Raw genomic sequence first — 15362 nt, forward strand, 5'->3', positions numbered from 1 at the left:
AAGATTAAAAGCATATCCAAATCCCATTACCACGAAAATTTCAGTAAGCAGAAATATCATTCCATTCCGCCAAATTGCACTACTTGACAAAACAAGCTACAATATTTTATTCTGAATCTCACCTTCAAATTCATTGTAATATGAGGTGACCAGTCTAACTTTTAAAATGTTATATGTTCTAATAAAGAAAAAAAAAAAGAGCACTCACCTTAATGAAGTTACAGATGGACAAGCCTGTCCATACAAACCCATCTGGCCACAAAGAGAATCTGAAAAGCAAAGAAGAGTTAGTTATCAGATACTGCAAAGTAAATTAAACCATAAGTCTCACTTTAGATTTAATTTAAAACACTCTGAAAACAGAAGTAGAATGTTCTACTAAAGAATTCTACTAAAAGAATCACCCCATCAGAACACAAACTTACATGAAAGAAAAATGCTACTGAGTCATAAGAGGGATTACACTCAGACAGACAGACATATCAGGAAGCCTACAGACATATCAGGAAGCGTAACAGAAATAGATACACTATAACTGTAACATCTAAAGAAGCTGAGATTTCATAATATGTAACAAATGATTATGGCTATGTCATAAAGTGTCCAAACTGTTTTAGTAGAGTCCTAGGGATTCTAGAGAGGTGCCCAAAAGCTACCACAGAGTTAAGCATGCAAGGTTCCAACCCCCAAGTAAGTGCCCCACCAAATCTATTCTTCCATCAAAATAGTGCTACCTTTATTGGTTTTAAATATTGGACTTCACAAAGATTTCATCTAAGAAACAAACAGTTCCATTGCTTTAAAAAAAAAGTAGTAGTAGTAGTAGTAGTAGTAGTAAAGAGAAGCACTGAAACAGAAAGAACTTTGAATTCAAATTCTAGATTTTAGGTTCAAATTCTAACTGTGGCACTATAGACACCTTAAAGGATTTATATAACTTCAATGAACCTCAGTTTCTTCATCTGTAACGTGGGGCTAATACCACCCACATAACTTTATTCAGAGGGGATTAAACTGCAAGCTTGTTGTTAGAATTAAATAAATCAACAAATGTAAAAGTGTCTATCAGCACTACTATGGAGCACATGGGAGGGTATCAATATTTTCATTGGGCAGAACGATGATTCACAAATGCCTAATGGTAACACATAAATGGGATAAGGTAAAATGGGTTTAAGTGTATACATACGCATACACTGCACAAGTGGCGGAAACTGTGAGCAACTGAAGAGAGCAAGTTCAGTCTGAAGGGATCAGGGCTATTGCCAGTTCTAGTCAATTGTTGCTAGGCAGGAGTATTATAGACCCAGCATTTTAAGAACTTCCAATTTTTCAAGAGAAACAAAAAAATCCAAAATTTTACCTGCAATCTCTTGATTTTTTAACGTTTTAAAAAAATACAGATGGGGTTTTGCTATGTTGCCCAGGCTGATCTTGAACTCCTGGGCTCAAGTGATCCTCCTTCCTCGGCCTCCCAAAGTGCTGAGCTTACAGGTATAAGCGACTGCACCTGGCCCTGATTTTCATTTCCTAAATACTATGTAGGCCAAACAGAAACTGGATTTTGCTGCAAGTTTGTAACCTTTGGTTTAGAAGGTGATTGAAGTCCCTGCATCTAATAATTATCCCTGCATACACTGAAGAGAGACGCAGATAGACACTTCTATTTCTTCCAGAATGACAGGGTGGATGGCTCAATCTCGTAACCACTGAAAATAACGAAAATGCTGAGTAAAGTATCTTAAAATCTTTACATATAAATCAAAAACTTGACAGAAAATGAGGTATGATCAGAATCCAAAAACTAGGTGAAACAGTGGAAACTAGAAAGGTATGCAGAGTACTGACAATAGCTTTCCTTCACCTTTAGGGCATTATGCCAAGCACTATGAATTCTGGCTTGCAATTCCAAGACCTTGTGGGACACAATGTACAAGATGCAACAACGTTCAGATCTTAACCAAGAGAACTGCCAGGAAAACTGCTTTTTTAACCTTAGCACTTAGGGCTGGTGAGGGGATCCAGGACTATGACAGCAGCAATGTTCAGTTCTTAACCAAGAAAACTGCCAGGAAAACTACTTTTTTAACCACAGCACTTAGTGCTGGGAGGGGATCAGGGACTGTGACAGCAGTGCAAGGGTGTCTTCCCTGATATTTCACAACCACAAGCTGATCTTCCCCTAGATTATGGTTTTAAAACCTTCATACCGGCTGGGCGCAGTGGCTCATACCTGTAATCCCAGCACTTTGGGAGGCCGAGGCGGCCGGATCACCTGAGGTCAGAAGTTTGAGACCAGCCTGACCAATATGATGAAACCCCATCTCTACTGAAAATACAAAAAATTTAGCCGGGCATGGTGGCATGTGCCTGTAATCCCAGCTACTTGGGAGGCTGAGACAGGAGAATCGCTTGAACCTGGGAGGCAGAGGTTGCAGTGAGCCAAGATCACACCACTGCACTCCAGCCTAGGCAATAAGAGCAAAATTCCGTCTCAAAAAAAAAAAAAAAGCTTCATACCTAGAATTGTGTTTAGGGTAGCCCTAGGATGGTTGTATCCCCCACCCAATCTTGACAGAAGCAAATGTACGTTCTCTCTGGAGGAAATCACCTTTGACCTAAGCCTGGAAAAATTCCCACAGGTAAGATCTCAAAATAAATGTATTCATAACTAAAAATCACAAAACCCAGAAGGAAATCAGCCACTCACAGCAAAATACAGCAGAAACATCAGTTAGCACAATAAACCACAAGGAATGCAGATATAGAAGTTACTAGACATCCTTGGGACCAGGGTCCAGTGTGGACTGCCCCTCGTCCTGGGAAATGGGGTGTGGCTAAAAAGGCAGCCGTCCCCTTGCCTGTCACGGAACACACTTTCGTGGGGAACCTGGCGCTAAACCACTCACAGACAACCTGCCTCTGGGTCATGGTTTCGTACACAGCAGAGCAGCTTTCTTTATTTAAAAGAAAAAAAATTACTAGACATACTTCTTTACTGTTTTATGTGTGATTTACCTAGTCTTGTATTTTAATTGCCTGAAGGTAGATAGATCTCAAATCTTCATCTCTAGCAGAGATCAATCTCCTAATCTCCAAACAAATATCTAACATTCCCTCCTGGAAATCCCAAATTTACCATGTTTAAAACTGAATTCATCATCTTCTCTTAATATACTTCCTTCCTGGATAAAATGGCACAGCCTTTTCATCTAAGAATGGCTTTCAGGTTTCTAGCTTAACTCTTACTCTTTGTTAGAGCAGACTAATTTTTTTTCCAACTCTTAGTCTCTATGAGGAATTACTTCAGTAAACACTCCTGGCCTCTTAGCCCATTCCTCTCCAAAGAGGTAAACTGGTTAGTACATAGAGCTAACTTAACAAAAGAACTGAGTACCAGGGACTCAGAATCTTTTTATTTTTCTGAGACGGAGTTTTCACTCTTGCTGCCCAGGCTGGAGGGCAATGGCGCCAACTCGGCTCACTGCAACCTCTGCCTCCTGGGTTCAACCAATTCTCCTGTCTCAGCCTCTCAAGTAGATAGGATTACAGGCATGCACCACCATGTCTGGCTACTTTTCTGTATTTAGTAGAGGGGGTTTCACCATGTTGGTCAGGCTGGTCTTGAACTGCTGACCTCAGGTGATCCACCTGCCTCGGTTAGGATCCCAAAGTGCTGGGATTACAGGCGTGAGGCACCACGCCCAGCCCTCAGTCTCTTTCTTTTCACTCTCCATCCAGGATTCTACAAGGCAATGATCTGAGTGTGTCTGCTCTGCTGACCCAAACATCCTCTAGGGTGCACTGTCCCACTGACAGATGGGCATGAGGGGCTGCAGAAAGTCAGCCAACTCATTTGGCTCTTAAACCTAAGTCACGTTCTACAATATAGGTTTTATCAAAAACAAAGGCAACTCCTTTGAAAGTTAAACACAGAGTTACCATAAAACCCAGCAATTATAAGCATATACATCTCCAAGAGAATTTAAATGTTCCTACAAAAACATGCACACAAATGATCATTTGCACACAAATGTGCAGCACTACTCATAAAGCCAGTAAGTGAAAATAACCCAAATGTTTGTCAACTAATGAACAGATAAACAAAGTATGGTTTATCTAAGTAACAGCCATAAAATATACAATGCAACTTTATTCAGCCATAAAAAGGAATGAAGTACTTTTACATGCTACCACATAAATGAACCTTGAAAGCCTCATGCTAAGTGAAAACGACACAAAAGACCACATGCTGTATGATTCCATTTATACGAAATGTCCAGAACTGGCAAATCTATAGAAATGAAAAGTAGATTGGTGGTTGCCAGGAGATGGGGGAAGAGAGGAAGATTGCAGATGGGAAGTGACTGCTAGGAGGTTTCTTTTTAGAGTGATGAAAATGGCCTAATTGATAGTGGTAATGGTTGCACAACTTTGTGAATACATTAAAAACTACTGAATTGTACACTTTAAAATGGTGAACTTCACAGTATGTGATTTTTACCTGAATAAAAAGCTAATTTTTTTAAAGGTACTGTCTTGCTTCTTCATCTGTAGGTTCTTATTTCTCAATCAGCTCAAAACTCAGGCAAGGGAAAATGATCTCATACTAAACTGTCCAAACACCAACACCCTTAGTACCTCCAATAAGTTACCATTTACTATCAAATTCTAACTTCTAGTTATCTTTCCAATCTGCTCTAGCTTCAATGCTTTAGTTCCAGTGTTATTCATTTTTCCTCTAGATTACCGTCCTTAAATGACGTCCTGAACCCTAGCCTTGTTGACTGAAAGAACAAACATATATCAGTCTTCTCCCTACCCAGGCAACTGAACAGCAACAGGGAAATCTCACAAAAGAAGGCTAAGGTTCACATTGAAGTCAGGAAATTTCAAAGTCCTCCAAGTCACAAACAAATCTCTGTGGCATCAACTGTAGTTGAACAACTATATTAACTCATTCAGTTACATCCATAATTTATTTACATGGTTTTATTTGGTGCCTACAGCATAAATCTCCAAATCTTTTGAAAACTAATATGTATCAAGAAAGAGTAGAATGACACAACCAGAATGAGTACTAAAAGCCAGGCATTAGCTAATGAGTATGCTGCAATACAAGCTATTTACTGTATTATATTCCATTACCAACAGAAAAGCATGGAATTTCTTTTAACATAAGCAGTATTCAAGTGTACATTAAACTGAGTTACAAACTATCCACATTTAGGAAGCAGCCATCGCAACACACTAACAGTTGTATAATAACATATTATCTGGGGGCATGGAGTGAAATAGAACTAAGTATTTTGAAAAAGCTCTGAATAAGTTCGTTTTGTTTTTAAGAGACAGAGTCTTGCTTTGTTGCCCAGGCTGGAGTACAGTGGCCAGATGATAGCTCACTGCAGCCTCGAACTTCTGAGCTCAAGCAAACCTCTTGCTTCAGCCTTCCTAGTACCTGGGACCACAGGTGCACACCACTGCATTGGGCCTTTTTTTTTTTTTTTTCTGTAGAAACAAGGTCTTGCTGTGTTGTCCAAACTGATGTCAAACTCCTGGCCTCAAATGATCCTCTCACCTCAGCCTCCCAAAGCACTGGGATTACAGGCATGAGTCATCACACCCAGCTCGAAATACTTACGAGCTCTCTCCCCTCTCCCACCTACACAGAAATGCAATGCTTTATAATTTACAAAAAACTTACTACCATTCATGACCTTGTAGCTGAAGACTCAAGACTGGAATCCCAACTATTGACAGTTACTGTGTGACCTTGGATATGTTAACTTCCCTAAGGCTTAATTTCCTCCTTCATAAGAATGGAAAAATGCAGTAAATGCCTCAGTTACTATGACAGTAGCTTGAGTGAAAGCATTAGTGTAACACCAGACAAAGGTAAGAATTAAAAATTTGTTAAAACTATTACACTTAGGAATGGAAAACCAAACGATGTATGTTCTCATAAGTGGGAGCTAAGCTATGAGGATGCAAAGGCATAAGAATGATACAATCGACTTTGGGGACTCAGGGGAAAGGGTGGGAGTGGGGTGAAGGATAAAAGACTACACATTGGGTACAGTGTACACTGGTCGGGTGATGGGTGCGCCAAAATCTCAGAAATCACCACTAAAGAACTTATTCATGTAACTAAGCACCACTTGTTCCCCAAAAACCTACTGAAATAAAAAAATTAAAAATTCATTTTTTATTTATTTTATTTATTTAAAAAACTGTCACAGCTCTAGAGGTCAAGAAGCTATTCCCTTTTTTTGCTTCTGAATTCAGCCATATCTTTCCAAAAGACTTGAAAGTATAACATTCACTAACATTCATGAAGAAACAACCCCTTTGATTCAAGAAACTTGACTGAACATTTCAGATTATTATACCATTAGTAACAGGTAATCATTAAAGCAGTCACAAAAATAATCTGTATCCTAATCAACCCAAATAGAAGAACTGTGCCAGAGGAAAGAGTAAAGGGAAAGAATCCTGATGAGTGAGAAGCAATCAGTTGTTCATCCCAGCCACTCTAGCTAAACCTGAAGGCAGAGGTGCATCTTGAGCTAAGAAGTCATCTGCTTTCAGAGAGCAATTAAAATCATGAGGATCTGCAATTCACCACAGAGTATCTATCAGAAGAGAGGCCACACAGATAATTAAGAGAAACCATAAAAAAAAAAAAAAAAAAAAACTTGAGGAAGTTGGACTGCAGATAGCAGCAAGTGATATAAGAGAGAGAAAGGCAATCATGTTCAGTGTAGATCAAGAAGGATAAAAACTGAAAAGAGAATACTGGCTTTTAATAGAAGATAATAATACGACAGTGGGTAAGTTTTGTGGAATAGTGAAGGCAAAAATTAGCATGGATAGGGGTTAAGAATCAGGAGTGAAAGAAAAATAAAAGTTTAGCTACAAGTTGTATTAAATAAAATTAAGTAGAAAATGTAAGAACAGAAGGTATAGATTAAGAATTCAGGAAAGGTAGAGAATGTTAGAATTTTCATCACATTATCTCTATTACCTTATTTTATTCTTCATAAATAGAAATAGAAAACCGAAAAGCTCATCACCATCTGATATGATTTTTATTTCTCCCCCATCAGAATGTGAGCTCCATGTTTCATTCTCTGTTATATTCCCAAAACCTAGTATAAAGCCAGCACTCATATTTATTCAGTGAATGAATAAACCAGATTCTTCAAAAATTGGGGGGAAAAAAGAAACTTAAAATGAGATCTGACAACTCACCAGGTCTTTACTTAATACAGTCTTTTGTATCCATCACTTTATCTCTAAGCAATTTAGGACCAATCTGCAGTTAGAAGACCAAGTTAGGTATCCAGAATATACAAACAACTCTTACAACTCAATAACCAAAAGACTAATAATCCAATTTAATAATGGGCAAGAATCTGAACAGACATTTCTACAAAGAAGATATATGAATGTCCAATAAATACATGAAAAGATGTTCAGCATCATTAATCACCAGGGAAATACAATTTTTTATTTTGGAGATGGAGTTTCGCTCTTGTCACCCAGACTGGAGTGCAGTGGAGTGATCTTGGCTCACTGCAACCTCCACCTCCCAGGTTCAAGCGATTCTCCTGCCTCAGCCTCCCAAGTAGCTGGGATTACAGGCATGCACCACCATGTCTGGCTAATTTTTTTTGTATTTTTAGTAGAGACAGGGTTTCACCATGTTGGTCAAGCTGGTCTCAAATTCCCGACGTCAGGTGATCCGCCCACCTCGGCCTCCCAAAGTGCTAGGATTACAGGCGTGAGCCACTGCACTCAGCCGGGAAATACAAATTAAAACAAGACACCACTTCATACCCACTAACATGGCTATAATCAAAAAGACACAAAGTAACAAGTGTTGCAATGACGTGGAGAAATTCAAACTTTCATGCATTGCTAGTACAAGTGTAAAATAGTGTTGCTACTTTGGGAATGTTTGGCAGTTCATCAAAAAGTTAGACATAAGAGTTACCATATGACCCAGAAATTCTATACCCAAGAAATGAAAACATACATCCACAGACAAATCTGCACAAGAATGTTCATAGCAGTATTAAATCATAATAGCAAAAAAATGAAAATAGGCCACGTGCAGTAGCTCACACCTGTAATCCCAGCACTGTGGGAGGCTGAGGCAGGCAGATGGCTTGAGCCCAGGAATTCAAGACCAGTCTGGGCAACATGGCAAGATCCCATCTCTAAAAAAATACAAAAATTAGCTAGACATGGTGGCTGGTGCCTGTAGTTCCGGCTACTCAGGAGGCTGAGGTGGAAGGATCAATTGGGCCCAAGAGGTGGAGGCTGCAGTGAGCTGTGATCGTGTCACTGCTTTCCAGCTCAGCGACACAGCAAGACCCTGTTTTGTTTTGTTTTGTTTTGTTTAAAAAGTGGAAATAATCCAAATGCCCATCAACTGATGAATGGATGTGTTATATCCACATAATGGAATAACTGTTTGACAATAAAAAGGAATAAATGTTACAACATGTATAACCCTTAACAACATTATGCTAAGTGAAAGAAACCAGTCATAAAAGATTACATATTGTATGATTCCATTTACATCAAACGTCCAAAATAGGCAAATTCATGTGAGTAATTAGATAGCAGTTTCTTAGGGTTAGCAGTAAGAGAAAAAGTAAATGGAGAATAGAGATTGACTGCTATTAGGTATGGAGTTTCTTTTCAAGGCAGGAGAAAAACGTTCTAAAATTAGACTGTAGCAATGGTTGCACAATCCTGTGAATATACTAAAAAACACTGAATTTTACACTGAACTAGATGAACTGTATGGTATGTGAATTATATCTCAACAAAGCAGTTAGGAAAAAAAATAAGTTCAGAACCACCACACACAAATGTTTTTATTCTGTCACATTCCTGCTGCTTCTCTCACTAGTGCCACAGGATCCACCCCCAAACCCCAAAGCTGGAACAGGAAAGGGTGAGTAAAAGTAACTATCTCACCAGAAAACAACTCTAGAAAAAACAATTACTTACAAATCTATAACTCCTTGAACCATTCAATAGTTTTCTGGTGGCCTCCACTATTTTTAAACCATATTGTTTATTCACTAAACACGTTTAATGAAGATACATGTACAGCCAATAAAAAAGTTTCATACACCTGAAAAAATTATCAAGGAAACTACCACTATCTACAAATCGACTACTTCGGCTATACTCCTCTCCTCCTAAAACAAGACCAGGGGCAGGAAGAGACTAATAGAAGATGAAAAAAAATCAGCTTCAGCTTTTAAAGACTGTTTTAACAGTAGGAAATATACGTAACTGCCTCTTTTCCTCCATATTTTAGGACTAGTGTCAATAAAAGAGGTGGTGAGCGTGGGGGAGGGGGGGCTTCCTGGCCAAACATCACAGAGCTATAACTTCTTCCAAACCCCAAACCTTACTTCCTGCAATTTATGTAAACAGATCACAGGCCACCCTCTTCAAACTAAATCATAACCCAAGCAAACAGCACAAGATTCTATTTCTGGGTCTGTCATTAACTCACTAGATAATCCTGAGGCTTCAGTCTCTCTACTTTGCTCAAAAACTTAACTACCTAATATTTGGTCCCAAAATCGTATCATGTGGTCTAATAAAGAACCCTTTCCCAATTTACACATTTATTTTTACAGAAAACCTGAAAAAGGTATATGAAATTAGATCACACCGTATGTTTAAATACTGAAATTATACAGTATATGAAATTAGATCACATTATATGTTTAAAGGTATATGAAATTAGAGGTATACGATATTAGATCACATTATATGTTTAAAGGTATATGAAATTAGATCACATTATATGTTTAAATCACCTTTATTGAATATACATGAAATATGAAAAATTCAAAAGCTAATCTACTGCAAAAATGTTGAACTCTTACATTTTAAGCAACATTTAAAGGTATTCACTAAACAAAGAATGAGTTTTTGGAGGGCTAAAGGCTGTGAGGCTTTAAATTTGAGCTCAGTTATATTTAGAAAACCAAGACGCCACTTCCCTGGATCCTGTATCTTTATCTTGGGCATTTGATTCATGTGCTTTGCCTGGTGGAATTCAAAGCAACAGATCCTACCCATATTGCTGAAAAGTCCACTGAACCTAACAGAACTTACTGGCTGTGAGAGGAATAAAATGCTGTACTGAAACTGAAAAGATAGGAAGCTATAAAGCCTCCGCTGCCAGAGATGTTTAACAAAATAAAAATTACCTGCCTCATTCCCAAAGTCAGTAAACAAACCACTGCTGACTTTATAATCATTTATATCCCATTCCTGGAAATCCTGATTTAGGTGAAACTTGGGAAATCTATTAATTAAAAGTTATCTCAGCTGATTCTGATGTAGTCTGATTCCGGAACTACTGGTTTAGGACAACGGTTTCCTATCATTTGTCAATAATGCTCAATAGGTAGTGGCTGCCTGAAGTGCTACAATGAAAAAATAATGTCTAAACACAAGCAGAAATTAGTAGTCTGCCAAGGACATGGTGATGAGCAATTGGTAACATGAAAATCATTTATCTATCATCCCTGATTCAGTTAGACCACTGAATGGACTGTTTCTAAGAAGACTTCTGAGGTAATTAGAGATCCAGGTCTGGATTATTTACTTTTAACTGGCAGAATCTCCAGCTGACTCTAGAAAGGTAGGAAACAGAAGAACAGACCTGATGTATGTACCAGGACTCTTCAAAAGTACTTATTAAGCACCCAGTATTACAAAGAAAAAGAAGACAGTATGACTTTTGCTCTCCAGATGTTTATAATCTTGTTGGAGAAATGAAAATTCTACATAACATAAACGTGGGTTTTTTAAATAAAGTAAATAAAAAGATTTTTGCGCCACTTTGGATAACAGTGGGAGCCAGTGGAAGAACTGAGTGACAGGCCAAAAACAGTCAAGTATGAACCGACTCAAGAGGAAACCAAACGTGGGTTCCTGATCAGTATATGATTAAAGAGATGTATGAGGAAGATTCCATTGGCATCATTTTCCAGGGAAAAAAAATGGGAGACTTTATCATCAAGGCATGATGCATTGGAGGACAAATAATCCATTTCATGTTGTTTCTGTAAACATCTGTCCCTACCACTGGAATATCGAATTAACTTGTTATCTCCCATAATGCCTAGCACATGTTCTACACATAATACTTCAAAATGATGGCTGAATTGTCATAAAAGAAAAAAAAAATCTAGCAGATATTTCAAAAGGAACAGAATTTGGTACAGATAGAGACGTGAAGGGCCAAAGAGGTCAAATTATCCAAAAGGTGGGGAGAGTGGGAAGTGGCTATGGTTCAGTTAAAGGAGATTTAAGAAATATAACAACCAAATGCAGTCTATATACCTTATCTGGATCTTGAGTCAACTAAAAACCAACTGTAAAGAGATGTTTTTAAAGAATCAGGACATTTTATTATGAACTGGATATTAGATGATACCTAAAAATATTGTCTATTTTGTTAGATACAATGATGGCATGGGTAATATAAGAAAATATTTACATTTTCTTAAAGATGCATACTGACATAGGGGTGAAAAGACAGTGTCTATGATTTTCTTTGAAATACTTAAAAAAAAGGTATTTGAGGCATATGTGGCACCTATCTTAATTTGTTGAATCTCGATGGGTAAAGGGGGATTCTTCATATTTTATATATTTCTAAGTATACTCAAAAGGGCAGTTGGATTAAAGTTGTTTGGTGTTAGTTGCTCAACAATACCAATGGATAATTAATTTTTTTCTTTCTCAGATTTCAGGAAGCTAAGGATGACTAGTACTTCTGAGAAAACAGCCTAGACTCAATCAGAAGAAAATGGGCATTCATTAGTTAGCTCTACTAATAGGAAATCTCTCTGAATCTACTCAAAGAACTTGTTGTAAATTAAGATGAGAACTGAATATGAGCCAAGAGAGTGACTCAGCTGCTAAAAAGAAACAAAATGCAAACTTGGGCTTCATTAGAAGAACAGTATCCAGAAAAGGAGGGTAACAGTACCATGTATTCCTCACTACTTAGTTCACAACTGGAGTATTGTATTCTGAGGGTTTTTCGTTTTGTTTTAATATAGAATTAAAAAATATCACCTATGGAGGGAAACATGTTCTGTTCTGAACACCACATTTTAAGAACACTTACAGGACAGAATCCTTGGAAGGAGGGATATCAAACTAGTGAGGGATCAGAAACCAAATGTCAAGTGTATAATGACTGAAGAAACTGGGTGTGTTTAGCTTGGAGAAGAAAACACTTTCTAGCCTTCCACCTCACCTCTACCATACAGACCAGTGTAATATTTTCCAGAGGATTTCAAGAGTTGTTAATGCACATTCCATAATTAAAGAAGATTGAGATAAACACTTTTTTTCTCTAAATGACTTAAAGTGTTCAATATCCTAAAATGCTTTGTTAATGTCCAAGAAAATGATGATCGGTATTTCTCAAATATGACCATTCATTCATTCATTCAACAAATATTTATTAAGCACCAATTATTAGCCAACCACTCCTCCAAGTGCTGGGGATACAACAACGAACAGTTTTAATATCCTGGAGGATAGTGTGGGGAACAGCCAAGCTGGGTCTCTATTCCTCTAACTTGCATTGTGCTTCCTCATTTCTAAGTCTTTGACTATGCTCTCAGCCTAGAATGCTCCATGTCTAATCTTAATCCAAACACTATCTCATCCACGAAGCTTTTGTCATCATCATAAGCAAAAAACACTCCCTCTTCTCAGTAAACCCATAGCTCTTAGTATCTGTACCCATTTCTTGCTAAGAGACTATGCCTCTTAATTACCTTTGGATCTCTCACAATATCCAGGACAGTGTCTTGCATGCACAGGTACTCAAGAGATATATGCTGAATAATCACCTTCAAATAATTGAAGGATTATCTTGTGAAAGAAGGCAGACTAGGTCTCTACTGTTCCACAGGGAAGAACTAAGAAAAAAAGATGACGTTAGATGCATATTTTGCCTCAATTACAACTAACAACAAACAGGTTACCTTATAGCTATGAGTGACCAAAGGTGTTCTAAAAGTAGCCAAATGACTATATATCAAGTGTTTTAGCGATATATTTCACTGACCTGAATGATTAACTCTTAAAATTCTAGGAACTACTAAATATATATAGTATATATATACACACTATATATAGTATATACACTGTATATACACAGTGTATATATAGTATATATACTGTATATATACTGTGTATATACACTGTATATACACAGTGTATATACAGTATATATACTATATATACACTGTGTATATATAGTATATATAAATTCTAGGAATATATATACTATATATATACTATATATATAAATTCTAGGAATATATACACACTATATATACACTATATATACACATATATACACTATATATATTATACACATATATTATATATATACACTATATATACACGAGATATATAACATATACACTATATACTATACATAACATATATACTATATATACTATATATAACATATAAATACTATATATACTATATATAACATATAAATCACTGTTTTAGACAAAACTATCTGTAGTAATATTAAAATTCTCAAAATTAAGTTTAAACACGCAACATCCTTTATTAGTACAGTGATGCATCGCTTAACAACAGGGATACTTTCTAAGAAACGTGTCGTTAGGCGATTTCATCACTGTACAAACGTCAGAGTGTACTTCCACAAACCTAGATGGTAGAGCCTACTACACACCCATGCTATATGGTACAGCCTATTGCTTCTAGGCTACAAGCTTGAATGGCATGTTACTGCACTGAATATGGTAGGCAACTGGAATACAAAAGTATTTGTGTATCTAAACACAGAAAAGGTACAGTAAAAATACTGTATAAAAGATGGTATGCCTGTATAGGACACTTAACAATGAATGGAGCTTGCAGGACTGGCAGTTGCTCAGAGTGAGTGAGTGATGAGTGACTGTGAAGGCCTGGGACATTACTGTACACTACTGTAGACTTTATAAACACTGTACACACAGACTACACTAAATTTTTTTTAATTACACTACAAGATTATGATGGCTTTGAGGTCACTAGGCAATAGAAATTTTTCAGCTCCATTATAACCTTATGGGACCACCACTGTATATATATGCCCCACAGTTGACCAAAATGTCATTATGTGGCACATGACTGTATAATGGCTATATAATAATGTCTATTATGTATCACACACAGTGTTAAGTATAGAGGATAAGAGTCAAAAAGACACTGTCTCCATCCTGGAAGAATCGATACAATGTTGTTTGATTAAGTTCCCAAAGCAAACCTGAATGCCCAGGTCATCTACCTCAGTAACAATTGCTCATTAGATGAGGAAATTCCTTAAATTTTCAGTATTTTGCAATCAGAGAAATAACTATGAAGCCATCAGCTTCCCTTAAAGCCATCTATTCATATCCCTAAATCCATTAAGTTCTTTGAACAAGCTACTCATTCTGCCTTTCTAGTCGAAAAGAAGAAAACAGAAGAAATCACAGGATACTTCCAGATGCCAAGGACATCTCTGATTTTTCTCCCAAACTAAAAGCTGTAGTCTTTGCTGGCAGGGACCCTGCCTTAGTCGTGTCCCCAGTATTCAGTACTGTGCCCAGGACACAGCAAAAGAGGGAACAGATGAGCAAGCGAATGAGTGAGAGAAATGATGAGTCCAATGTACCTGGATGAAAAACACTACCTTAAAGAAGCACTAACAATTTGGTTTTTTATTAGAAATCTGCCAAGGAATGGAAGCTTATAAGTAGATCCTTAAGTTAGTTTTCAGGATTTAAATTGGAGTGCTATTTCTAGATCATTTATTGATAAATAATTACTGTAAGTAAACTTAAGGTCTTGGTTGCTTCCAGGGGACTAAAATTAATTTCTTGATCAGCAGAGCTAAATGACCAACTTCTAATGCAAAGAAAAACCCAAACCACTTAATACACTCACAACTTGACCCATAAGATAATCAATAATTTATCAAACTGATTTGTTAACAAACTGCTTAGAAAGCAAAACAACTTCATAGCATCAAGTGTTTAAACTGCTCTTCAAAAGTCCCAAAATCAGGCTGGGCACTGTGGCTTACACCTGTAATCCCAGCACTTTGGGAGGCGGATCACATGAGGTCTGGAGTTTGAGACCAGCCTGGCCAACATGGTGAAACCTCGTCCCTACTAAAAATACAAAAATTAGCCAGGCGTGATGGCAGGCACCTGTAATCCCAGCTACTTGGGAGGCTGAGGCAGGAGAATCACTTGAACCCAGGAGGTTGAGGTTGCAATGAGCAGAGA

General features: G+C 37.4%; 1 protein-coding gene across 12 annotated transcripts in view; it reads right to left on the bottom strand.

The window, feature by feature from the left end:
• FOXJ3 (forkhead box J3) overlaps window positions 1-15362 on the bottom strand; it is a 159333-nt gene that overhangs the window by 134294 nt on the left and 9677 nt on the right. For 6 of the 12 annotated variants that reach the window (XM_047449488.1, NM_001198850.2, NM_001198852.2 and 3 more), the window contains one exon: window positions 209-269. In XM_047449488.1, the coding sequence (XP_047305444.1) occupies window positions 209-252 (44 nt within the window). In that variant the 5' untranslated portion in view covers window positions 253-269. Of the gene's footprint in view, window positions 1-208; window positions 270-425; window positions 445-4504; window positions 4615-12842; window positions 12987-15362 lie in introns of those variants that run through there. The other 6 variants (XM_024454163.2, XM_047449489.1, XM_047449474.1 and 3 more) reach the window with 3 other exon arrangements.

The sequence above is a fragment of the Homo sapiens genome, chromosome 1 (genome assembly GCF_000001405.40).
Source record: "Homo sapiens chromosome 1, GRCh38.p14 Primary Assembly".
NCBI classification, from domain to species: domain Eukaryota; kingdom Metazoa; phylum Chordata; class Mammalia; order Primates; family Hominidae; genus Homo; species Homo sapiens.